At 45.8% G+C, this 25,528-nt stretch overlaps 1 protein-coding gene and 1 non-coding gene across 3 annotated transcripts, besides 8 other annotated features; both read right to left on the bottom strand.

Moving 5' to 3' along the window:
- On the bottom strand, positions 614-23,354 carry EIF4H (eukaryotic translation initiation factor 4H). Of its 2 annotated transcripts, NM_022170.2 has the most exons (7): positions 23,268-23,354; positions 9,912-10,099; positions 7,973-8,037; positions 7,792-7,888; positions 7,404-7,463; positions 2,832-2,969; positions 614-2,541 (listed from the first exon to the last, which is right to left on the bottom strand). In NM_022170.2, exons 1-7 carry the CDS (start codon positions 23,324-23,326, stop codon positions 2,402-2,404), a joined length of 747 nt encoding a protein of 248 aa, NP_071496.1. In that variant the 5' UTR covers positions 23,327-23,354; the 3' UTR covers positions 614-2,401. The 2 variants fall into 2 exon arrangements, with proteins under 2 accessions (NP_071496.1, NP_114381.1); NM_031992.2 differs by lacking the exon at positions 7,404-7,463.
- Positions 1,070-1,571: an enhancer, noted in NCBI's record as "H3K4me1 hESC enhancer chr7:73610469-73610970 (GRCh37/hg19 assembly coordinates)". NCBI's record gives its function as "activates a minimal SCP1, AML or CMV promoter by ChIP-STARR-seq in naive H9 embryonic stem cells {active_cell/tissue: H9 hESC(naive)}" and the evidence as "EXISTENCE:reporter gene assay evidence [ECO:0000049][PMID:30033119]".
- MIR590 (microRNA 590) lies at positions 6,416-6,512 on the bottom strand. The gene has a single exon (NR_030321.1). It is a non-coding gene; the product is annotated as a microRNA 590 (primary transcript).
- Positions 17,261-17,761: an enhancer, noted in NCBI's record as "H3K4me1 hESC enhancer chr7:73594279-73594779 (GRCh37/hg19 assembly coordinates)". NCBI's record gives its function as "activates a minimal SCP1, AML or CMV promoter by ChIP-STARR-seq in primed H9 embryonic stem cells {active_cell/tissue: H9 hESC(primed)}" and the evidence as "EXISTENCE:reporter gene assay evidence [ECO:0000049][PMID:30033119]".
- Positions 17,762-18,262: an enhancer, noted in NCBI's record as "H3K4me1 hESC enhancer chr7:73593778-73594278 (GRCh37/hg19 assembly coordinates)". NCBI's record gives its function as "activates a minimal SCP1, AML or CMV promoter by ChIP-STARR-seq in primed H9 embryonic stem cells {active_cell/tissue: H9 hESC(primed)}" and the evidence as "EXISTENCE:reporter gene assay evidence [ECO:0000049][PMID:30033119]".
- Positions 22,289-22,801: an enhancer, noted in NCBI's record as "NANOG-H3K27ac-H3K4me1 hESC enhancer chr7:73589239-73589751 (GRCh37/hg19 assembly coordinates)". NCBI's record gives its function as "activates a minimal SCP1, AML or CMV promoter by ChIP-STARR-seq in primed H9 embryonic stem cells {active_cell/tissue: H9 hESC(primed)}" and the evidence as "EXISTENCE:reporter gene assay evidence [ECO:0000049][PMID:30033119]".
- Positions 22,802-23,315: an enhancer, noted in NCBI's record as "NANOG-H3K27ac-H3K4me1 hESC enhancer chr7:73588725-73589238 (GRCh37/hg19 assembly coordinates)". NCBI's record gives its function as "activates a minimal SCP1, AML or CMV promoter by ChIP-STARR-seq in primed H9 embryonic stem cells {active_cell/tissue: H9 hESC(primed)}" and the evidence as "EXISTENCE:reporter gene assay evidence [ECO:0000049][PMID:30033119]".
- Positions 22,802-23,603: a biological region, named in NCBI's record as "NANOG-H3K27ac-H3K4me1 hESC enhancer GRCh37_chr7:73588725-73589238".
- Positions 23,094-23,603: a silencer, noted in NCBI's record as "silent region_18273". NCBI's record gives its function as "represses an Ori minimal core promoter by ATAC-STARR-seq in GM12878 lymphoblastoid cells {active_cell/tissue: GM12878}" and the evidence as "EXISTENCE:reporter gene assay evidence [ECO:0000049][PMID:35858748]".
- Positions 23,297-23,591: an enhancer, noted in NCBI's record as "tiled region #11846; HepG2 Activating DNase unmatched - State 1:Tss, and K562 Activating DNase matched - State 1:Tss". NCBI's record gives its function as "activates a minimal TATA promoter and a strong SV40 promoter by Sharpr-MPRA in HepG2 and K562 cells {active_cell/tissue: HepG2 | K562}" and the evidence as "EXISTENCE:reporter gene assay evidence [ECO:0000049][PMID:27701403]".

Below are 25,528 nucleotides of genomic sequence, written 5' to 3'. Positions count from 1 at the left end.
GCCCTTGCCTGCCTTACTAAAATTTAGTCGTGGTCCGGGGTCCTCCATCACCAGACAATGCTCCTACCTCAAGGTAGGCAAGGTCTGCCTTGGCCAGGCCCTTCCAAAGTCAGCCAGGACTTTGCCAAACACGCATTCATGCCCCGCACCTTGCCCACTCAGCTCTTCTTTGTCTGCCTAAGTCAATTTTAACACTATCCAATACCAACCTATAGCAGCACCTCCCCAGAGTCAGGATCTGCTGTCAGGAAGCAGCAGCCCTCCCAGCCATGAGGGGCACCTAGAATTTCGTTTACAAGCAGTTGTTAAAAGAAGCCACATGTTGTGTAAATGCTTGATTTCTTCCATCTTGGGAAAAAAATGTTCCTTTACCTAACCAAAAACAGCCAGACTTTCAAGGTTTCTGCCTGGTTGGGAAAAGGACATTTTTAGCAAGTGAGGGGAAAAAATTGGCATCCTATTTCTAATCATCACCAGCTTTTAAAATAACTTCACTCATCCCAGAATTAAAATGACAGGAAGACTCTTCCATTTCAATGGTGCTTCCCAAATTTAAAATTGTTACATTCCATGAGCAGCTAAAAAGAACTCAAAAATAAAGGCAAGCATTAAATATTACGTAAGGTTTTCTTTTATTTAAAAGATCATTCACAAAATACCATATCCATAGATTTACTTTCTGTCATATAGCTGAATGTGTTAAGTGTTTGGAATTCCATTCTTACATTTAAAAGTCAACTGGATTGCCCAGCAGTTTAGATGCATGTGTTTTGTTCTTTATCTTATCCACATTGAAGATGTAAGTAGGTCATCTGAAAGCATCGGGTTTGATTACACCACATAATGCATGTCTTTCTGAAGTTAAGTGTTGGTGTTACACAAATGGTTCTTATCTCAGAAGCAGAGAAGCTGACAGGTGGAAGGAAGGAGAGAGAGTTCTGTGGATTGCTGAGGCCTTGTAACAAGACACAGTAGGAAAAGCCCAGGATGACGGCTGGTGACCAAATACTAAGCACATTCCGCTGGGTGCCCCAGGCCACCCTGGCCCTGCCATCACCTGGCGAGGGCCTCTTTCCCAGGCTCCTGCTGCCGGCCGCCCCCAAACTGCTCCCCATAGGACAGACTGGGACTTGGGTACTGAAGGATTTTTCATCTGTTCACACGCAGGCGTTCAAGCTCAAAAGCCTAACCCCTAGCACTCCCACATAACTGCTGAACCCTGCACATGGGAACAGTCCAGTGTGTCCCCAAGATGTGGCCGCAGACCTAGACAGCTGCAGTCCTCTACTGCTATCTGAAGGTTCCTGACAGCTCTGCATAGTACAATTTATCAAAGGAAATGAGTAAAGTGCCAGATTCTAGACCCATTTTGGCTCTGAACTGAAGGGGAGGTGGGAAGCACAGTATCTCATTATGTTGCCTATACTAGGAACAGATCCACACAACACACAGGCAACAGGGATGGGGGGAAACGCTGCGTCAGCGCCGCAGTCAGCCCAGTGCAGCACCAGCACCACCCCCTCCACCCCCAAAGCGCCTTGGCCCAGCAGAAAAGAAACCCGCTGGCCATTCACTGCACCCAGCCAGAGAGGCCAGCCTCCACCACGCACGGCGAAAGGAGTGAACTAGCTGGGACACACACACGTGTGAATGCATGCAAGCATTCACTGCATCTTCTCCGTGGACTCCCTACCGCTCTTCCATAGCCCCCCCTTTCAGCCTCACTGTTTCTCGTGTGAGCCTATCTGCTTGGACAGTCCACTCGGGAGGGGGTCATGGAGCCAGGACTCCCTCTAAATAGGAATGGAAAGGACCCTGCAGATATTTTTATCCTAGTTGTGAAAACAAGGTGCCTCTGATTCTCTATATCCATCACAGCTGAATACCAACAAGGTCTCTGCTGTTCCCTCTGTCAGTGACTCTGGTTTTTGTTGGAAGCCCCAGCAATACAGAACTCAACATGCAGGTCAGAAGAGAAGCACTGAGGGAATGAAAGGAAACGCCTGGAGTTGGGCCAGTGTCTAAAGTAAAGAGAAAGCAAAGGAAAAATGACGCAGCACCGCAGCCCAAACGCCCCCCCACGGCGGCCACCTCTGCTCCTCCGAGGAACCCCATGTGCTGCTGGGAAAACAAGGAGCAGGAGAAAAAGGACAGAAGGAAAATGGGGAAGCAGCGGAAGAAAGAAAAAAACGCACAAACAGGCACTAGATAGATACAGCAAAGCCCAGAATGTACTAAAAACCACTTGTTAACAGCTGACATGCACTCACAAGCTGTGTTTCCGCTGTGAGGAGGCCAATGGCAGGCGCAGGAGTGGCGGCTGCAGGACGGCTGCCCGGGGACTCACCAGGCTGTGGTCCTGCTCTAACCCCCCACGCCCCATTCCCTCCCAACCGCAGGCTCATTCTTGCTCCTTTTGAACGACTTCCTCTCTAGGCCTGGCACCCCCGAAGATAGCAGAGTTGGGATTGGCTACTTGATTGAGGGGCGTCGCGACTGTTCGAGGTTTAAGCTGGAGTCGTGGTCTCTGTGCTCTTTCCTCTGGGGGAGAAAAAGCAGAGTTTGTCAGAGTGTGGATCCCATTCCATATCCAGCAAAACGACCATGCTGATGTTGCTGTCAGCAAACCAGCCCACTTTCTAAAATTCACCTGGCCTGCTACCCCAACAGCAGATGCTCTAATGACCAAGGTGAACTTGCTATTCCAGAGAACGTGGGGATCTATGCCGACAACTCTGTGTGCCGTAGAACGCCAAGTCCCCACGGGGTGTGAACCGGCCATGATCATCCCATCAGGACAAGATGCCCTCCACTGACACATGAGCCCGTACCTTCTGTGGGTTCTCTGAAATCCATGTTGGATCCACGGAGGGGAGGGCCATCTCTGAAGCGGCTGCCCATGGGGGGGCCTGTTCGCCGGTCGCCTGGGCGACTACCTCCCCTGCCCCCTAAGAAGTCATCCCTGAAGCCTGAGGAAGAAACAGGACACTGAATTACTTTTCAAACTATCGTCTCCAAGCTGCTTATAGAATAATGTTCTGGGAATTGTTTGAGTTTCATTTTAAATTCTTTAGTTTGTCCACTATCTGAAGTCTCTCCAAAATAAAGTGTGTTAAAAGTGGGTCCAAATGCCAATGTGTGGAGTAATGACAGCGCTAACAGACTTCCCAAAGAAAAAGGAATCAAGATCTTAGGAGAGCAAACAAACGAGCTGTTTACATGCTCAGCTTGCATGAAAAGTAGAAAAATATTAATACCACGAAACTGTATTTTAATACGGCTTAAGCAAAACAAGAAAGCCTCAAAGCAGGTTGAACTCTATTTTCTAATAGAAATCTATACAGCTATTTTAAAAGATAAACCTGAAATTTAGAAGTATTTACAACTCAGAACACAAAAATCACAAGAAAACGCTATATGAAGACAAAATAAAAACACAAAGTCCCAATTTTCCTGTTTTGGCTGCGTTTTAGGTGTGGGCCATTCTACAAGCAAAGCACCTGTGTGGTAAACAAAGCAGTTATCCGAAATTGGCCATGCCCTACACAGAGGGGCATGAGCAGAGAGCACAGCGCCTCACCCCCACCGGCGCCTCCTGTGGGGGCAAAGCGTTCTTTCCCCATTCATTTGTGTGCCTGCTAAGTGGGCTCTTGGCAGAAGTAAACTGCATCTCATTTAGAAATGCTGAATTCCCACTGGTGTGTAGGAGGAAAGAGTATTTTCTCAATGGTCTTAAGGGGCCTTCAGGCTTGTACTTCAGTGAAAGCTAAACTTTAACTGTATAACCTACTGATGTTAAAATTTGGTAAAAAGACTGGTTCACGCCTGTAATCCCAGCACTTTGGGAGGCTGAGGTGGGAGGTGAGTATAGGAGTTCAGGACCAGACTGGGCAACACAGTGAGACTCACTCTCTACAAAAAACACAAAAATTAGCTGGGCATGGTGGCGCACGCCTGGGGTTCCAGCTACTCATGAGGCTGAGGCAGGATAATCGCTCGAACCTGGAAGGTAGAGGGTGCAGTGAGCCAAGATCGTGCCATTACACTTCAGCCTGGGTGATGAAGTGAGACTCTGTCTCAAGGAAAAAAAAAAAAAACTGGCGAAAAGAAGTTAAACCATAATTAAACAAATGAGCTTGCTGCTGTTGGTTGCGCACTCAGGGGGTGCCACTGCTACTCTCTGCGAGAGTGGTGCCAAGGCTCCAAGCTTTCAGGGAGCTTGTCTTTGAGAAGAACCCCCAGAGCCCGCAGTATGCACTATACAGTCATCCTCATTATCCACAGATCCCATATTTGCAAATCCACCCAGTCGCTAAAATTCATGTGTAATCCCAAGCTAGATACCAGCAGCATTTCTCCAGTCAGTCCTGGACCTGCACAGATGCGACGATCCCAGCTGAGGCAGAAAACGATAATGCTCTGCCTGTTTCAGTTATTAGCTGTCAAGTCTTTTCACGATGAGTGTCGGGTGTTTTGCCCTTTGGGCTTTTTCTGGTGACATCGCTGTCTGAAGTGGCCCCAGGTGCAGTGTGAAGTGCTGTCTGCTGTTCTTAAGTGCAGGCTGGCTGTCAGGTGTCTTACAGACAAAACCGGTGTGGGATGAGCTTTCTAACAGGCTGAAATGATGGCACCACAGACTACTTACTACAGCTGGCCCTGAGTTCAATGTTAACACTATTAAATGAATCAACACTAACATTAAATGAGGCGTCTTTAAAATCAAGGTCACATAGGCTGGGTGTGGTGGCTCACGCCTGTAATCCCAGCACTCTGGGAGGCAGAGGTGGGCAGATCACCTGAGGCTGGGAGTTCGAGACCAGCCTGACCAACACGGAGAGACCCCGTCTCTACTAAAAATATAAAAATTAGCTGGGTGTGGTGGTGTGCGCCTGTAATCCCAGCTACTTGGGAGGCTGAGGCAGGAGAATCGCTTGAACCCTGGAGGCGGAGATTGCAGTGAACCGAAATCATGCCACTGCACTCCAGCCTGGGCAACAGAGTGAGCCTCTGTCTCAAAAAAAAAAAAAAGAAAAAAAAAAAAGTCACATAAAGCAATGTTAGGTATGATCAGCTGACGAAAATGTTGTGATCTGTAGCACACAGGAGCAGCACCGCACGGGCTCATTCAGTGTTCTAGCAACTCCACAGAACCACCTCCAATGATAAGCGCTGACTGCATCACCTGTGGTGGGGGCCGATTTCTATTCTTTAAAGGTGGCAAGGGTTTTGGAAACCAAGGGATCTCACACCCAGTTCAGAGACTGAGTTAAATAATAAATTTTAACAAACCAAGTAATGAAAGCAAGTCTGAACAGATTTAGACCAATAAGAGCACTGCTTTAGGGGAAATACACTGGGAGGCATACAGTCGAGTATAAGGTCCTTTACAAAGTATTTTACCCACATTACACAGTTCAGTGAACAAGCCTAGTTAGTATTAAAACATTTAACTTCACGTTTCCCCCAAACTAAACTGTGAAGTGTACCTTTCCACGTGAGTACAAAGTAAATTTACACCCTTTACTATGAGATTAAATGATTTCGACCACCAATGTCTAGCGTGAAACAAATAGCTCACACCACGCTGGTGAAGCAGATGAACAAGGATCTCTCATCAAATCTGTTGGTGGGGGCCGGGCGCGGTGGCTCATGCCTGTAATCCCAGCACTTTGGGAGGCCGAGGCAGGTGGATCACGAGGTCAGGAGATCGAGACCATCCTGGCTAACATGATGAAACCCCGTCTCTGCTAAAAATACAAAAAATTAGCCGGGCGTGGTGGTGGGTGCCTGTAGTCCCAGCTACTTGGGAGGCTGAGGCAGGAGAATGGCATGAACCCAGGAGGCAGAGCTTGCAGTGAGCCGAGATCGCACCACTGCACTCCAGCCTGGGCAACAGAGCAAGACTCCGTCTCAAAAAAAACAACAACAAAAAATCTGTTGGTGGGTTTCTAGGAAGCAAACTATTCATGAGAATCTTCAGAGTTTTCTTTACAAAGCTTAGTTTAACACTGGCTATTTCTGATGATGAAATGTTTTTGCTTTCTTGGTACTTTTCTGTTGCTCTATTTTGTTTTTTACATGAGCAGGTATCATTAAAAAAAATAGCACCATCCTATTAAAAAGTAAAAAAGATCTACTCTCGCAAATAACGTATAAAGTATCAAATTAGCCATTACTCCATCGAGTGAGCCCACATAGGGTTTGAGATGTCACCAAAACACTGCAGTTCCCACCAGAACTGGTGGCGGCCAGGCCATGGCCGTGTTCACTGTGTCTCTGCTTGAGCGCCAGTGGCCAAGCTAAGCCAAGGGTAGAAAGACGTTAGTATGTGGGCAACTTCTATAACACCTGCGAATACCAAACTGGCAGGGGAAAGGCCGTTCCCTGAGCTGCTGGTTGGCTCTAAGAAGACAGCTGCTGCATGTTTCAATCAGAGACTAGCTTATACATAAAATTACAGATTGACTTCACCATACTGCACTTTTATGAATAAGCTCATTTCTGACTGGCTACAGGACTTTTAAGAACTATATTATTCAACAGGTAGTCGTCACCTGTTCAGCCAAAGCTGAGTTTTTAAAAATCTCAGACTCACAAGACAGCGTGCACCAGTCCCTCCCATACTCACCCACTACTTTACACCGGTTTTGTTTTGATGGGGGGAGGGTGCTGACGTTCTATACAGCACAGCATTGACAGCACATCCCAAGTTTGCGGGAAAGAAAACAAATTTGTTTTTCTCTTCCTACCTTTCTGGGTTACAACTGAAGTTTTTATCATGTGCATATATAAAAAATTATACTTTTGTAATTTAAAAACAGAAAGTAAAGATGATAAAAATGCTTAAAATCACCCTGCAGGGCAGAGGCCTGGCGTGTGGACTGATGCTTTGTGCTATACCACCAGCTGCTCTGCCTGGGTTGGCTAAGAAAGAGAACGGCGAAGTGCATCAGGTCCACCATCAAGGGACTGGACCTCCCCACAATCCTCCAAGAAAAAAAAGGGCCATCAGGACTACCTTTCACCATGTAAGAACCCAAACCTCTATCCTATGTTTTCCAGAAGGAACAGTACTTCTCTTGGTGCCATACACAAAACCACAGAGGAGTTTCCCTGGGCTAGAGTCTGAGAAAGACTGCTGAGCGAGCTCAAGGACCCAGGCCCGTACACATCCAAGGAGCTGCAGGCTAACAAAGGTGACCACACAAGGTGCATGGGGCTCAAGTCCTGCCCCCACAGGCTCTAACAGAGGCTTACTTGCATGCCTGGGCACCCTGCAGGAGAGTTGTATTTGTTAAAGGAACTAAATAAGTAGTCCGGCCAGGCGGGCTACTCGTAAGAAACAGAGAACAGCAGCAAGGCTCCTAGGAAAAATTAAGTGGTGATACTTTAAATACTGATACCAGAATTGAAGTCATCCCGGGAATCCCATCCACCTCTAGATTCTCGAGAGCTACCCATTCCTGAGGATACACAAAAAAGATAAAGTTGAGGTCGTGTCATTACCTTGCTGCGCAAACATGGAAAAATTCATTTGGAAGACATACAACTCAAGTGATGGAAGGTTCAATGAAATCATTTTAAGAGCTTTTGCTTCCAACAGAAAACAAAAAACGCCAGGCTTGCAGAAGCATCAGCCATTCTTTCTAGGATTTTACGCAAACTTTTAAGAGCTCACGAGAACCTATCACACCTATGAGATAATCGAGTTCTACTAGGAACGTTCACGAGTTGGAATTGGTAGGCATACTGCAAATCTTTATGATGTTCAGCTTTAGAAGAACCAATCACCTCTGTCATCTGGTCCACCTTTTCTGAATCCAAAGCCACCTTTATCTTGTTTTCTGCCTTCTGCAATGTCCACACGAAGTGACCGATCGCCCAACAGCTAATGATAAAGGGAAAATAGTGTAAGTATTGGCAAAGAAAACAATCTCAACTGCTATGACAGAGAAAACCCGAGGATACTTACTGCACCATCGTATGTCAAGGCTTCCTTAAGGGAATCCACTTCATCGAATTCTACATAGCAGAATCCTGGAAAAGAAAAGAAGACCCCGATTTCCTCAAGTAATTCTGGGTTAAAGATGTGGGAAGATCCTATTCATACTACTTCTCCACGTCACAACTACCATTCTGTTGTCTAGATGATGGCAGACTAGGAGAGCCTTTCAATAGATAGAACCCTGACTGGCATTCCTCCCTCTCAATTCTATTTTATCAGTCAGAAAATGCTAACTGAACATGCACTGAAATAGCAGCTGCGTTTCTAGAAAGCTTTCTTCTTGAATGTTTTAACCATAATATTCAAACCTTTCTCAGGCCATCTGCAGAGCTCTTCTGACTTCTGAATGACTATTTAATCTAAGTGAGGATTAGATTTCGTAGATTTCAAACTTGGTACCTAAAATGCTCTGAAGAAAGAGGCTTAAAGTGCCGATTTAACTTACTACTCAGGTAACTGACATAAAATTTGCTTCACAAAGCTGAAAATATATCCTTGGCAATCAGGGCATTCTTCTCTGAATGTTAATTAAAAGACAGGCAGCCTGGGTCCAAGTACCTGTTACTGACAACCTGTGTCCCTGATGCCAGGGGTCTGACATTGCCCCTTCCTTGCTGTCTGGAGTCTAAATCTAGTTCATTACTCCCCAGATGCTGGCACTACACCCTGCATCCCCTCTCCCCCAGCGTCCTTGCCCTGTGTATAATAACTTAATAATCACACTTCATCTTTGAAGCCCACTAGACCGCAAGTGCTCTAAAGGCCTGAGTCCAAACTTTCCCTGTTTACCAACTGTGTGTTAAGAACATACTGCCTTGGCTGGAGGGATGTCCCCCCAGGTTTCCTCCCTAAGTGGATTCAATGTTGAGAATAATGGAGAAAACTACCCCCAACTTCACAGAAGCAACAGACACCCAATCTCATCTTCTAGAGCTGCTCAAATGAAGATGGTCCTTCATGAGCCAAACTCCAAAGCCTGCAGCGACTGACCCAGCCCAAAGGCTAGGCTCACCCACACACTCCAACCCAAAGTTTAGTTCCTAATGCTTCCTGGAGCTTACTTCACAAGTGTAACTGATATATTTGTTTTCACTGTTTGATTACACACTACATGTGGCTTCAGATTCTGAAGTCAAAAAGAGTAAGAGTGCCACCGACACACAAAACCACCCAGGTCAGCAAGGCCTTCTCGACTGCTGGCACAGCTCCCCGCCCCAAGTTACCCCATACTTGTCACAGATGTGCTTTTGGGTGGATTATGCGGGCCAAACATCCTGGGTCCTAGCATCGTGCACTTACACAGCAGGCACACTTCCTTCAGGAAGCCCTGCAGGCAGGAGAATGCTGCTCGGATCCCTTCTTCTTCCTGCTCTTTGCTCCCGCACCCTGCAGACACACGACCTATAGACACCATATCTGAAATCTCAGCCAGCCCTCCCAAGCACACTCTCCAAATTTACAAATGCATACTGACAGCACTGGCTGCTTCTCTTCTGGGTTTTATGATTACTGGATGACAGTACCATATGATTACTGGATTAACTACCAAGGAAAATCTACGAGTCATTCCAGGAGGAATGTGCCTAAGAGTCCTCGGCTCTATTCCTCTCTCTCCTGGGGAACTCCTTTACTGGCAGACAGGACTGCTGTAGAGGTCAGGCTCACAAACCTGGGCATATGCCATGTATTTCTATGAACTACACTGTGTACAAAACATTTTCCCCTAAGTGAACTGAAGACCTATGAGTTGAAGAGTTATGTTTCTTTCGGCCACTTAGACCAGGCAAATGTTTAAAACACTTTCTTGATTACAGCCTCTGGTTCACAAATCTATTTTTATTTAGAACCCCTTCCCATCCTCCCCTACACTTTACAGTAATATACAATAAGAATCCCCCAAACTCACCTTTAAATTTATCTGTGTCTTTGTCTCTGACTAGCCGTACACTCCTTATGCTGAGATCCTTAAAGATAGCATCTATGTCGCCCTGAACCGTATTGAAAGGTAGATTTCCTACGTATGCTGTGTAGGGGGGCTCTGTGGGCAACTCCTTCTGGCTACGGGAACCATGGCCACCAGCACTGCCGCGGGACCTAGGAGGGGAGACAAACAGGATTCAAGTGTGCCCAGAGTGGAATAAGCAAAACAAGTAAAGCGGTCTTCCGCTGAGCTACGCCGCCAGCGCCCCAGGTGAGGCACTCTGCTCGATGTACCACAAGACTGTTACAGAGAATGGCTGGAGAAACAAAAAAAAAGGAAAAGAAAAATTTTTTGAGACAGACTGTCACTCTGTCACCCAGGCTGGAGTGCAGTGGCACAATCTTGGCTCACTGGAACCTCTGCTTCCCGGGTTCAAGAGATTCTCCTGTCTCAGCCTCCTAAGGATGCTGAGATTACAGGCATGTGCCACCACACCTGGCTAATTTGTGCATTTTTAGTAGAAACAGGGTTTCACCATGTTGGCCAGGCTGGTCTCCAACTTCTGACCTCAGGTGGTCTGCCTGCCTCACCCTCCCAAAGTGCTGGGATTACAGGTGTGAGCCACCATGCCCAGCCCAAACGTAACACACCTTCCTAAGACAACTGCTTCTCTCCTATTCACTCAGAATCTGTATCTGCAGTATTTACATCCTAAAACCTAAGCAAGTACCCTCCTTCACACACCGTGGTTCTAAGAAATACAGAAATGGACAGTCTAGAAGTAATGTTGTATTCAGAAGAAGGATTACTGAAGTTGTTTACGTTTAACACATTCATACATAATAGAATTATTTCTCCTACCGCTTGAACCTGGGAAGCGGAGGCTGCAGTGAGCCAAGATCGCACCACTGCACTTCAGCTCACGCGACAGAGACTCCGTCTCAAAAAAAAAAAAAAAAAAAAAAAAAAAAAAAAAAAAAAAAAAAAAAAAAAAATTTCTCCTTGTTGCCTGATTATGGGCATAAGAATGTCCTAATAAAAATTTTAGATGTCACACAGCAAGTACTGACGTACCTAACACTCTCGTGCAATACTTCACAGGGTCCTCAAATACATGCGTATGGCGTGCATTACCAATCCATTTCAACCTCGATGTCATCTCCTCAGCTGTATCAAGCGTCGTTTACTCTGCATAGGTATTGGTTTAAATCTAGCCTCTGTCACTTACTAGCATATGACCTTGAGAAGTTATTCAACTTCTCTAAGCTTTATTTTATTTGTAAAACTGAGTTAATCCTAATACAGCATTTTGGGAGGCCGAGGTGGGTGGATCACTTGAGGTCAGGAGTTCAAGATCAGCCTGACCAATGTGGTAAAACCCTGTCTCTACTAAAAATACAAAATTAGCTTGGTGTGGTGGTGCATGCCTGTAATCCCAGCTGCTGGGCAGGCTGAGGCAGGAGAATCGCTTGAACCCAGGAGGTGGAGGTTGTAGTGAGCCCATTGCACTCCAGCCTGGGCGACAGAGCGAGAGTCCATCTCAAAAAAAAAAAAAAGACATCAGAATATAGTATAAATAGATTATTATATTAAACGATATTTGCCATAAGAATGCCCCAGGAACGACTTAAAGTCGTTAGAAGTGAAGTGCCAAGATGGCCAACATTTGTTTTCAAGCAGGTCAGCATAAAGGGCATGTGTGCCGGTATACAGCAAGGATTCAGCAAACAAGGCAGAATAGTCACTTCTGCATCCACTAGCGTCATCCAACTGTACCATTATTTCAACCTTATTGTAGATTTGAAAATTTCCAAAATAAAACGTTTGGAAAACTCAGGAGGAAAAAAAAATTAAGGGGGTGATTTTTTTTTGAAACAGACATTTAACCCATTTCCTGTTTGCTCCAAGAATACCGTGCTGGCAGCCAACTGCAGTTTTTTTTTCTAAACGGGAAATGCGTTCAAATAAATGAGATCCTTCACAACAACCCAAGACCTGCCCAAAGTCACCCTCTTTGCAGGGGAAATATTAATATCCATCTTAGAGAGCAACCTGGTCTTTCATCTACATACTGCCAGAAACACAATGGAAATTCCACTTCTTCCTGAAGATAAATTCCAGGTGTCTTGCAGACAAATATTATTCATTAAAGCATTTTTCTAAAGTAGAAGGGTCAACCAAGCTGTGATGATTCTTTGATGGTTAAAAAAAAAAAAGCTTTTAAGTTTCATAATTCACAATTCCGGTACTTTCCAATAGGAAGTTCCACGTTCTGTTCTAAGACCACCAGAAAATAGGTTTACAAGTGAATTGCATCCTACCTGCCCACTTCTCCCATCTTTTCGGGCCTAGTAAATGTGACTTACTTTGCATTTCAATAACCTTTGCCAATAGTACTCTATCGCTGATATCTCCGAAATCATAAATCCTAAAATATTTTCAGTAAGATACTATTTAGGACGGGATAATAAATATATGAGTTACAGTATAAAGCCGGGCCCAGTGGCTCATGCCTGTAATCCCAACAGTTTGGGAGGCTGAGGCGGGAGGATCACTTAAAGCCAGGAGTTCAAGACCAGCCTGGGCAACACAGTAAGACCCCATCTCTATAAAAAATACAAAAAATTAGCCGGGAGTGATGGTCCACACTTGTAGTCCCAAGCTACCTGGGAGGCTGAGGTGGGAGGATCACCTGAGCCCAGGAGGTTGTTGCTGCAGTGAACTGTGATGGCACCACTGCACTCCAGCCTGGGTGACAGAAGGAGACTGTCTCCAACTGAAGAAACAACAACAACAACAAAAAGGCGGGGCACAGTGGCTCATACCTGTAATCCCAGCACTTCGGGAGGTCAAGGTGGGTGGATCACTTGAGGCCAGAAGTTCAAGACCAGCCTGGCCAACATGGTAAAACTCCGTCTCTACTAAAAATACAAAAACTAGCCAGGTGTGGTAGCACACACTTGTAATCCCAGCTACTTCAGAGGCTGAGGTGGAGCTTGCAGTGAGCTGAGACTGTGTCACTGCGCTTCAGCCTGGGCTACAGAGCGAGACTCCATCTCAAAAAAACAAAAACAAAAAAACACAAAAAACAAACAAAAAAGCACAAAAAACAACAACAAAACCAAACAAACAAAAAACAAGATACAGTATAAACATGTGGAAAACCATAAAAATGGAGGGTCAATGTTAAAAACAGTTTAAATTCATTACTCAACATTAAACATCTAGTGATGCGTAATGATGTTAAAAGACTGTCTTGTATGTAAGCAGCTCACAGTTGTGTGGGACGTATAAAACACATGTATATATGCAGGTATGTTTGTGTGTATGAATGTGTAACATATACATAAAAACTAAAAAGGAGGGTGAGGATGAAGAGAGATGATAAACTCTCGGGTGTTTGATGTAGTTGCTAAGTAAGGAAAATGGAGGTGCGAAGGCTTGCTAATTGTGCTCGAACTTACAGAGTAGAGGAACTGTGGAACTGAGATCAGGCCAGACTTGACCCCTGATTGAGCACAGGAAGCCCAGGTGAATGCCAGTAAGATGACGGGGCACTGCTAAAAATGCACTAGGACAGGAAGGTGGCTCTGGCTTTGGAGAAGATAGAAAAATCTAGTTTGGGGCAAACCATTTTTGAAAAGTTGGCACGTTACCAAATGGCAGCACCTAACAGCTAACTGGTGATATAATTCTGGAGCAAAGATACACCAAAGCCCACCAAACTGTTCAACTCACTCGTGCCTCACAAAACCACCAGTGGCTTAATACTCTAGACTTTTCAATAATTACCAAAGTAGTCCTAAATATTCCCATACCCTACCTGATGTAGTCCCTTCTACAGGTCTTAAGCACTTTTTACCTTTTCATCCCATTCAATGAAATCACTAGGGGGCAGCAGGGCTGGGCCATGGAGGTAGACCTCATTCAAGCTAGCACTGGTAAAGTGTCCACTGTGTGACAGTCACTTGAGACACATCACATAGGATGTGAGTACCCCAGAGTACACATCACATAGGATGACATCACATCACATCACATAGGATGACACAGATCTGTTACCCACCGATTCATTTACAAAATCAAATGTCAGAAAACTCTGAGCTAAAATGTCTGCCACCTTTCACTAGATTCAAGTTTGGGGGACTACTACCTAAATAAATAAGCTGTGTTTCGTGAAATTCAGTACATTCCTACACAGATCAATAACAACACATGGGAGAACAGGTTCACTTGACACCTTAGCTAGCTTGATGTAGGACCTCTGCCAAATTACCTCTGTACCTATGTTTTCTTGTCTGTTATATTTCAATCTTGATTTTATAAGTTTAAAACTGACCATAAAAACATTTCCTAAGTACCAAGTGCTATATAATTCTGCCATGCTCCTGGGTAGACCCAACAGGCCTGAGGCTACACTGGGCTGGCAGGAGTGCGTGTAGAACAGGAACAGATCAGCAGAGCGTGCCAATTCAGGACACCTGAAGTCAAGGTCTGTGCTGCAAACTCCCTGCCACTACTGAGCAGTGTCCTTTCTACTGCCCATTAGGGACAGTCTATTGATTATGAAAGATTAAAGTAGTCAATTACAGCCTCAGTAATTTAGGAAACCCTACTTTCGGCTCCAAGTGTGACTAAAATCCTTGACAGGCAAATCACTTTTCCTTACTCAAATCAACCACGTATCTGCATGTCTATGAAGGGTGGAGAGAATGTAGAGAAGGCACAAACCTAAGACTCGGTTTCTGCCCTCAAGGAGCTGATAATTTGGAAAGGAGAAATCACGTCACAAGCAAAGGACTGCAGAAAATCTGGAAGATAGCAATGAGAACAGTTTCACCAGGGTGGAGCAGTTGGGAGCCAGGATATGCAGCACAGCAGAGAGCAACAGAAGTGGGACTCCACTTCCAGATGGCAGATGGGGCCAATACTGAACCCTTAGGGTGAGCCAGAAAAGATCTGTAGGTGTCAAAGGAGACTGAGAGAGGGTAACTATAAAAAGAAGCCAATGTACAGAGTAGATGTTATGAGGGTAGGGATGTATCCAGTAAGTAGATGCAACAGAAAGTTGAGTGCTCAAGGCTGGGCATGGGCATGTGGCTCCGGCCTGTAGTCCCAGCACTTTGGGACTGTGATTGTGCAACTGCACTCCAGCCTGGGCAACAGGGCAAGACTATGCCTCCAAATTATGAGACACATCTCATTTAAACCTCCCAACAGAGGAGTTTCTAGCTCTCATTTGGGGAAAGTAGGGCCCAGAAGGGTAAAGTAGTGTAAACCAAAGAAAATGACTGGCCGGACGCCATGGCTCACACCTGCAATCCCGGCACTTCGGGAGGCCAAGGTGGGGAGATCACTTGAGCTCAGGAGTTTGAGACCAGCGTGGGGAACACGGCAAAACCCCATATCTACAAACAGGTAACATTTGGGTTTTTGACAATCATCAAAAATGGTTAAGCTTTCAAAGGTCAAGCCTTTGATAAATACCATTTATACTACCTATTATAAACCATAGTAGTATAGAGAAGAGTGGTCACTTAAAGAGTAGGTAATGGGTATACAGGTCACTATATTATGCTTTGGTTCGTGTTCTAAATTTTCTACATTTTTCTGTAATGTTTTGCATATTCAAACAATCCAACTATACAAAGTCATCTTTGCAAAAACTGGGAAAAACTGAACACTGGGTACTGGAAAAACTGTTGGTTAAAGAAAAAAAAGAAGCCCTTATCTGTTAGAAACATACTCAAGTATGAAAAGTATGTAAGAGGCCGGGTGTGGTGGCTCACACCTATAATCCCAGCACTTTGGGAGGCTGAAGCGGATGAATCACAAGGTCAGGAGTTCAAGACCAACCCGGCCAACATGGTGAAACCCCATCTCTACTAACAGTACAAAAATCAGCTGGGCACAGTGGCAGGTGCCTGTAATCCCAGCTACTCGGGAGGCTGAGGGGTGGTGGCGGAGGCTGCAGTGAGCTGAGATCGCGCCACTGAGCTCTAGCCTGGGAGGCAGAGTGAGACTCCATCTCAAAAAAAAAGGCCGGGCTCGGTGGCTCACACCTGTAATCCCAGCACTTTGGGAGGCCGAGGCAGGCAGATTACCTGAGGTCGGGAGTTCGAGACCAGCCTGACCAACATGTAGAAACCCTCTGTTTCTGCTCTATCTCTGCTAAAAATACAAAATTTGCCAGGTGTGGTGGCACATGCCTGTAATCCCAGCTACTCGGGAGGCTGAGGCAGGAGAATCGCTTGAACCCAGGAGGCGGAGGTTGTGGTGAGCCGAGATAGTGCCACTGCATTCCAGCCTGGGCAACAAGAGTAAAACTCTGCCTCAGAAAACAAAACAAAACAAAAAACAAAAAAAACAAAGAAAGAATATATAAGATACATCTACTACGGTAGCCATAAAAATTGAAACAAAAATTGCTCTAAAGTATGTAATATTTACCAACACAAAGATGAGGATTAAAATTTAAAAAAATAAGAACTATTTTAGAAGGATAGGTGACTAGGATTAGCCTTAAATTATCCTAGCCCACACCTCCACCCAAAAGTAGGGAAGATAGATGTAACAGAAATAGCCAAAATGTTTATGAGGTTAAAACTGGGAAAGGAATGGAGTTGTTTAGTGGGTATAGAGTTTCTGTTTGGATTATGAAAAGGTTCTGGAACTAGATAGTGGCAATGGTTACACAACACTATGAAGGTACTCCATGCCACTAAATTGTACACTTAAAAATGGTTGAGGCTGGGCGTGGTGGCTCATGCTTGCAATCCCAGCACTTTAGGAGGTCAAGGCAGGAGTATCCCTTGAGGCTAGTTCAAGACCAGCTTAGGCAACAAAGGGAGACCCTGTCTCTATTAAAAAAACAATTATTTAGCTCAAGCAGCAGTTCTTTACATTTGTGCAGTCTCTGAAGAAGGCCAAGATGTAATCCTTTGGTCCTATTCTGGCCTGGAGGGCCACACCTTTCTTCCACTCAGCAGTCCCAGAGACTTAAGAGCTGCTGTATCACTGCTGCTGAGGCTTCTTTCGAAGGTCCTCACTGAAGCTGCTCAGCCCTTCCTCCTAAGATGAAGTTTCAGAGCCTGGCCATCCCCACTATCACCTTCTTCTTCATAGGCTCCAGTGTGCTGATGCCTTAAAATATGGTTCCCAGAATGGTTCACAATATTCCACATTTATAAAGCAAAGACCTATACTGATCTCACAACAGGTCTTTGTGTTAATACAAACGAAGGCAGGGGCATCAAACTACATTACTCATGCTTTCCCACCATGCACTTGAAGTATTTAAAATAGGAAGAAAAATCACAGCTTCAATTAGGAATATCCTTGGTAAAGCAGTAAAAATGAATCGTGACCCACTTTTTAGTACCCTATGTTATGAAACACGCAAAGCACTTCTGCTGCATACACAAGCATGATGGCTGCTGCAGGAAAAGCACTTGAGCTACAAGCTGAACTAGCTGTTCTTTCTATAGAACAAACTATGGTTAATTCAGACATGGGTACTAAGTTTTTTAAAAATGAAGTTAAGTCTGTTCCTTGAAGTAAAAGAACAGTATTTGGGTTTTTTGTTTTGAGACAGGGTCTTGCTCTGTTGCCCAGATTTGAGTGCTGTGGTGCAATCACTGCTCACTGCAGCCTCAATCTCCAGGACTCAAGTGATCCTCTAGCCTCAGCCTCCCAAGTAGGTGGGACTATAGGCATATACCACCACACCAGCTAATTTTATTTTTGAAAAGACCAGGTCTGGACATATTGTCCAGACTGGGCTAGAGTGATCCTCCTGCCATGGCCTCCCAAAGTGTTGGGATTACAGACATGAGCCACAGCACCTGGCCAAAATAACAGTATTTGTTGCCAATGGTAAAATTTAAGCTTTCAAGCAAAAAAGAGTTTCGGAAAACCTGTATCCATCAACATAAGCCTGACAGTCTTTCAATACTCAGAGACTTTTCTAACAGCTATGGTGAATGTGACTTTGATACTGTATAACAAAATGTACCAACATCTGGAACATCTGCATGGCTCTGCCTGGCTCAGTGAACAGGTCCTTTCCAAATCACCAACACCTTACAAATGTATGCACTGGTAAAGGATCCAGTCGGAGTACAAGATAAAGTGACTTTTTTTTTTTTTTTTTGATACAGAGTCTCACCCTGTCGCCCAGGCGGGAGTGCAGTGGCGCAATCTGGGCTCACTGCAAACTCCACCTCCCAGGTTCAAGTGATTCTATGGCTTCAGCCTCCCAAGTAGCTGGGACTACAGGGGCCCACCACCATGCCCAGCTAGTTTTTGTGTTTTTAGTAGAGATGGGGCTTTGCCATGTTAGCCAGGCTGGTCTCAGACTACTGACCTCAGGTAATCCGCCCGCCTTGGCCTCCCAAAGTCCTGGGGTTACAGGAGTGAGCCACCGCGCCCAGCCAAATGATGAACTCTAATGTAAAAGTATGAAGAGTTTATTGATAAGGTTTTAGGTTTCACATTGCAACTAACCTTCATAGAAACTACTGCTTATTGAGTTTTGGTATAGAATCAAATATGAATATCCAGAATTATTTGATTACTCCTCCCATTTCCAACTATTTATCTGTGCAAGGATTGAGCTGCTCCATAAAAGTCAACCAAAGCAACACATTCCAAGAGTGGAGACAGATGCAGGTATGAGAATCCAGCTGTGTTCTATTAAGCCAGACATTTAGAAGGCTCCAAAAATGTGAGTACACAGAAGGCTCCAAAAATGTGAGTATACATGAAAGACAGGAGAAGAATGTGCAGAACAAAGGGAGGTGACGGCCCCCCTAGCCCTGAACTGGAAGGCCATGCTTAACCAGAGACTCATCAACCGTGGAGCAGCCACATACTTGAGCTCCTTCAGAAGGTCCTGATCAAGACGGAAAATCACATAAATCATGACGTGGGGAAACTTCGAAGAACATTCGACTTACACAAAAGAAGTCTTAGACGTACATACAGCTGCCATTAGGTTCTATGAAAATGATGCAATCACACTCATTTCATGCCCGGGTGTGCAGGTCTAATCAGCATGATGTAAAAGCAACCAGGCGACAAATACTCTCCTGAACCTTCCAGGGGAAGCTGGAAGCCAGAGTGTGATCCTGGAAAGACATTCAGAGTCTGCTTTGTACGTTCTAAGCTTCCAGGGAGACTCCTTAAAATTGTGAAGTCTTTCCAGAACACTAAGCTTAATTTTTCTTTTTTTTTTTTTGGAGACAGTCTCTCTCTGTCGCCCAGGCTGGAGGAGTGCAGTGGCATGATCTCAGCTCAATGCAACCTCCGCCTCCCTGGTTCAAGCAATTCTCCTGCCTCAGCCTCCCAAGTAGCTAGGATTACAGGTATGTGCCGCCACACCCGTTTTGTATTTTTAGTAGACATGGGGTTTTGCCACGTTGGTCAGGGTGGTCTCAAACTTCTGGCCACAAGTGATCCGCCTGCTTCGGCCTTCCAAAGTGCTGGGATAACAGGCATGAACCACTGCACCCAGCCACAAAGCTTAATTTCTAATAGAAACATAAATTGAAGGCTGGGTACTGTGGCTCACACAATGAGCCTTGGGAGGCTGAGGCAGGAAGATCCCTTGAGCCCAGGGGTTTGAGACTAGCCTGGGCAACATAGAGACACTCTGTCTCTACAAAAAAATACAAAAATTAGCTGGGCATGGTGGCGCACCCTGTAATCCCAGCTACTTGGGAGGCTGAGGTGGGAGGATGGCTTGAGCCTGGGAAGTCGAGGCTGCACTGAGCTATGATCCTGCCACTGCACTCCAGCCTGGGTGACAGAAGGAGAGCCTATTTCATAAATAAATACATGTTTCTAACTCATATGTGGGGAAAACGAGGCTCAGAGAGGTGAAGAAACTTACTTCAGATCACACAACTAACACATGGCTGAACTGATGAAACTCTGGTCTGCCTTATTCCAAAGCCAGGGCTTTTACATGAACCGTCATGCAGAGACCTCTTAGCAAATCCAAATATTTCTGGTAACACTTTTCATAGAGGATAATGGTTTGGAACTAAGCAATGGAACACTTGGAGTGAAGAAGGATAACAAACCTAAACGACTTGACATTTGACATGTAAACAGCATTTTAAAATAAGCTTTTCAATAGCTTTACAGGCCCTAGCATCAGTGAAAACTAGCTGTAGTTTTTATACACTGCTTTCCTTCCTATTACATACAAATCTTAAAATATGCTCAGAGACAGGAAGTAGAATGGTGGTTGCCAGGGACCTGGGGGAAGGAGGGCAATAGGGAATTACTATTCAAAGGGGACAGGGTTTTAGTTTTACAAGCTGTAAGAGTTAAGGAGCTGGATAGTGGTGATGGTTATACATTACGAATACACTCAATATCCCTGAAATGTATACTGAAAAATGGGTAAAGTGGCACATTTTATGTTATGTATATTTTACCACCATAAAAATTTTGGATAAAAATATGCTCAGAAATTTAGACAGACATGCTAAGTTTAAAGATTCAAAGGTTAGAATTCTAAACTCCTAGGCTGGGCGTGGTAGCTCATGCCTGTAATCCCAACACTTTGGGAGGCTGAGGCGGGAGGATCACTTGAGTCCAAGAGTTCAAGACCAGCCTGGGCAACATAGTGAAACCCATCTCTATTTAAAAAAGAATTCTAAACTCCCTAACTGAATCCTGATAAAGAATAAATTTGGAGTTTTGCCAGTTTTTAGATGGCACCATTTCAGCCACCTCAATTCTTGCCACCTCCAATTTCCACCCTAATTCTCAGGATCGGTGGTTTTCCACTAAGCACTCATAGCTTTGTTGCAATTAGAAATATAAAATCAGTATTACTCTGCACTTTACTGCCAATGGTAGATGAGAAACTGGAACCTCAAAAAGATAATTTAGCAAACTGCAAAACAAAGTCCATTCAAGATCTGGTACAATCAACTCTTGATCATTTGGAATTTTGTTTTGATTTGCTTGCTGAACAATGCAGTCCCTGGTTCTCTCCCTGGCTGCTGGGGACATGCCCTTACAGGCTCGGGGGAAAAAAGCAGTGGTTCAATACTGTTTCCTGACAACTGCACTGGTTATTAAACACAACTACGAAATAAACTTAGGAAGATGTATAACTACCAAACTATGTTTTATGATGATAACTGTTCATTTTAGGCCTACCATTTCTTTCACCTGTGACCCAAGTAATTCAGAGGTGAGATGTACGAGCCTGTCTGAGGCATTTTAGACAAGGGAGAAGGTGCCTACACAAGTACCAAACAATGCAGTGTTAAAACTGCTTTCCATAGGTGGCAATCTTCTATGATGCTTAAGCATTGTAAAGCAGTGACATTTGTTCATGTGGACATAATTAAAATAATTGAGGCCGGGCGCGGTGGCTAATGCCTGTAATCCCAGCACTTTGGGAGGCTGAGGCAGGAGAATCGCTTAAACCCGGGAGGTGGAGGTTGCAGTGAGCCGAGATCACACCATTGCACTCCAGCTTGGGCAACAAGAGTGAAACTCCATCTCAAAAAAAAAAAAAAAGAATACACATGTATAAATGAATATGTAAATTCACCAACAAGTTTTTAAAACTACTTCTGAAAGTAGCAATACTTTATGTAGTTTCACATTAATATGAAGCCAAATAGAAAATTCCAAGTAAGTGAGACATAGAAGATGCTTAACAGTAAAGAGACTTTCTATTAGGAAGTTCAAGTGATGCACAGTGCTACCTAGGAAACTCTCCTATCAGTTTTTGGAGTACACCTGGGGCAAATGGCTAATATTTTCATCTGCTGTGGAGATTTGAAATTAATAGCATCTTAATAGAATTTTACTTCTGATTGTTCCTGGCACCCCCAAATGTCAAAATTTGACACCAGAAGAGCTGGCAAATGTGTCTGAAGGAAATTTTTTTAAATCCCCACACTCAGTTTAATAAGGTCACCTTATTGTAGTCCCAATGCAACTAAAACTTAAATTGACCACGCTGTTTAAGAAGAATTTTTCTGGGTACTTCTGTGAACGTTTTTTGGAACTAGGAAAAAAAAAAAAACCCTAGTTATTAAATTTCGAAATGACTTGAGAACAAATTTGATGTTTAGAAACCTAACCCAAAGGCGATAATTTCATGTCATCCAACATTTACTTCTTTTTTTATTAGCAAATAAAATGTTCTTTGGAATGACAATAGCTCCACCTACACCGGCACACTTCCACGTTACAGTATCATGAACATTAGCTACACTCCTGCCCCGAAACAAGCTTTTGTCTGAGCCGTTCCCAAACCAAGGTATTAAAAGTGATCATTCTTTACCAAACAAAGATACTTTTGGACTGCAACCCAGGAGACTGAACACCTCAGTGTGTATTATTGTGGTGTTATCCTGGGAAAGTAATCCTTTCTGCAAGAAAACACAAAGCCCAAGTGTGTCCTTGACAAACAGCAAGATGTTCATAGCCTATATTCTAACGAGGCAACTTGTATTTAAAAAATAAAATAAAAAAAAGTGCAGAGTCCTGGAATTAAACACCATGAGCTCTCTATTCAAAGATGTTTCTTTTAAGCAAAGTGTTTCAATTATACATAGTTGTCTGCATTTGACAACAATCAGGACGACGCTAAATGCGGTTCCTTCTCCAGATCAGAGCGAGAAACCAAGGAGAAATGAAATTGTGCCAAAGAGCACGTAGCACCTGTCAAGGCACTGTGACCCAAGAAAGATTAATACAAAGAAGCTACGATGGATTTATCTCCTTGGTCTCCCCCCGCCCGCAAGGAGTCGTACCATCCCCGGGCCAGAGCCGCCAAATCCCTGCCTCACACGTAAGGGGAAGGGAATCGCCCCTCTTGGCTGCCGACCTTCCCCAGTCGGCCGGCCTCGTGGCGAAGGGGCCAGGGGCCTGCAAGGCGGGCAGGCAACAGAGGGCCGCGAAAGAGGCCGGGACCGGAGCGGGGCAGGCCGTGTGGCCCGTACCCCAGCGCCACAGCTCAGCCCCGCACTGGTCCTACCGTAGGGGGGATGGGGCTGGAAGCGGGCGCTCGTCTCCGGGCATCGGCGCCGCCGCGGCCAAGGCAGGGCAAAAACCAACACGTTGTCGTTGGCGGGAGGCAGTGGAAGGGATCCGCCCCGCAAGCAAGACCCCGGGAGCCCAGCCGCCGCCGCCCCGTCTCCGAGCGCGCCATTTCCAGGCCCCGGCCCTCCAGGCGCCGCTCCTAGGCCTCCGCGGGCCCCCGCCTCCCGCCGCCCCGGCTGAGCGCAGGACGGCCGCCACCCTGACGGCCCCGACTCCGCCGGTCCCGCAGCCCCCGACGGGGCCCGCGCACGCCCGCCTCACCCTCTGCCGCCGCCGAAGCTGCTGTAGGCCCGATCGTCGTAGGTGTCGAAGTCCGCCATTTGCCGTCTCCGCTCCGAGAGGAACCAGGGTGAGCGAGGAAGGACCCCGCAATATAACTCCCCCCGCCCCGCCGCCGGGGCTGTCCGCCGCGCCGCCTGATCGCAAATCCCTTGGACGCAGGCACGCGCACGCGCGCGCGCGCACGCACGCACGGACGCTGGCCGCGCAGCGCCCGGCCCTGGGCCCACCGGCAGCTGCCTGCCCCGTGCGCTCTGCAGCCCACGTGGTGCGGCGGCGTCCCAGCTGGACGCCTGCCCGGCCTACGCGGCCCATTATGTGCTGGCCCTGGGGTGCGCCCGTGGCTGCCTCCTATCCCCGCCGCACCACGCCCGTGCGCGCCGGCCTTTCCGTCCGTCGGCGGGAGGTGACCTGGAGAGCTGGGGGGAACTCCCTCTCCAGTTCGCCTGGGACGCTGCCTTTCGGCCTCCATACATGGCGGGGACCTCGGAGGCCTGTCCCGCTTGGACCCCCAAGTGGTCCCCGGGTGACACCCAAGTAAAGGCCACCTCCTTCTCCAGGCAGGAGCTGGCCACACGATGAGGATGCCCCGGAAGGGGGTGCGAGGCGGTGGGATGCAGACACGAATCCTGCCTTCCAGGGCTTACTCGCTGCCTGGGTATTGGGGGGTTTTGAGAGGAGAGAGTATAGGTGATCGGTGACTTAGCAAGAGAGACTGCACATCTCGGTTTTTTGCAGAAGTCGTTGCCTTGGAAAAAGAATTGGATACTGTTGTGGATTCCATCATCTAGCAATAACAAAACATGGTTATGCAGTGGGAATTAATTACACGGGTAAATTTCCAGGTTTGTGATTGAGATGGTAGTAATTGTGGATGCCACGATGTTGACAAACCTTAATTATCTAAGCACACTTTGAAAGAACCTCATAGAATTTTGTTGTGATGTGTACCTAGGTATCTTCCGCTTAACCATTACTTTTTATTATGTATTTATTGGTTCGTTGTTGAGACAGGGTCTCGCTCTGTCGCCCAGGCTGGACTGCGGTGGAACAGTGGTAGCTCACGGCAGCCTTGACCTCTTGGGCTCATGCCATCCTGCCGCCTTAGCCTCTGGAGTAGCTAGGACTATAGGCGGGCAGTACCTCGCCTAATTTGCATTTTTTTTTTTTTTTTTTTGAGATGGAGAATCAGGTTGGAGTGCAGTGGCGCAATCTCATCTCACTGCAACCTCCACCTCCTCGGTTCAAGCAATTCTCCTGCCTCTGTCTCCCGAGTAACTGGGGTGACAGACGTGCACCACCACACCCAGTTAATTTTTGTATTTTTAGTAGAGACAGCGTTTCACCATGTTGCCCAGGCTGGTCTTGAACTGAGATCCACCCGCCTTGGCCTCCCAAAGTGCTGGGATTACAGGCATGAGCCACCGTGCCTGGCTCTAATTTGCTTTGTAAAACATTTATTTGTAGAGACAGAGTCTCACTATGTTGCCCAGGTTTGTCTCGATCTACTGGCTTTTAAGTAGTCCTCCTGCCTCTGCCTCCTAAAGTGCTGGAATTACAAGCATGAGCCACTGTGCCCTGCCAACTTTTATATTTGAGTATCTTCTCCTTCATAGCAGTGTTAAGATGGACAGAGCATTATCAATTCATGAGTTAATAGTGTTGAACTCACTTATTCATTTTTCTGTGCCTTTTTCTTCCCAAGTAATAAAACACTTTGCTGCCTGATAGACCTAGATTGAACCTAGGCTCAGTTAACGTCTTACTGGCTGAGTGACCTCGAGGACGTTGCTTAACCGCTTTAACATGCCTGTTTTCTCATCTATATAATAATGTCACCTACCTCTTCAGTGTTGTAAAGATTCAAATTAGTAAATATGTAAAATTCCTGGCACACAATATATATTGGGGACCTACCAAGGTGTCTGGCACCATTATGGGTGCTTTACCTGTAGATAATAATTTCCAAACCTGTTTAACAGCTGTGGAACCACCCAGAGAGAAAGAGACTTGCCCAAGGTCACCTAGTTTTGACCTTAGCACATGGCTCAGAAAATAACCAATGGTTTCTTCTCCTTGCGCAGTTTAAACTTGGACCCCTGCTCCATGCTCCTGCCCCCATTACTCTATTACTCTTATTTACTTTCTTTTTTTTTTTGTTTTTGGTAGAGATGGGTCTTGCCATGTTGCCAAGGCGGGTCTTTTTTTTTTTTTTGAGACAGAGTCTGGCTGTGTCACCCAGG

Source organism: Homo sapiens, chromosome 7 (assembly GCF_000001405.40).
Source record: "Homo sapiens chromosome 7, GRCh38.p14 Primary Assembly".
Taxonomy (NCBI): domain Eukaryota; kingdom Metazoa; phylum Chordata; class Mammalia; order Primates; family Hominidae; genus Homo; species Homo sapiens.
The sequence above is the reverse complement of the archived record's forward strand: the minus strand, read 5'-3'. Positions and strand labels throughout refer to the sequence as shown.

Coding starts and splice junctions, on each gene's coding strand:
- EIF4H (NM_022170.2), bottom strand. CDS start 23,326: ATGGCGGACTTCGACACCTACGACGATCGGGCCTACAGCAGCTTCGGC. Junction 8,038..9,911: donor AGACACAGATAAATTTAAAG/GTGAGTTTGGGG, acceptor TTTCTTTTCCAG/GATTCTGCTATGTAGAATTC. Junction 2,542..2,831: donor TTTCAGAGAACCCACAGAAG/GTACGGGCTCAT, acceptor TTTCTCCCCCAG/AGGAAAGAGCACAGAGACCA.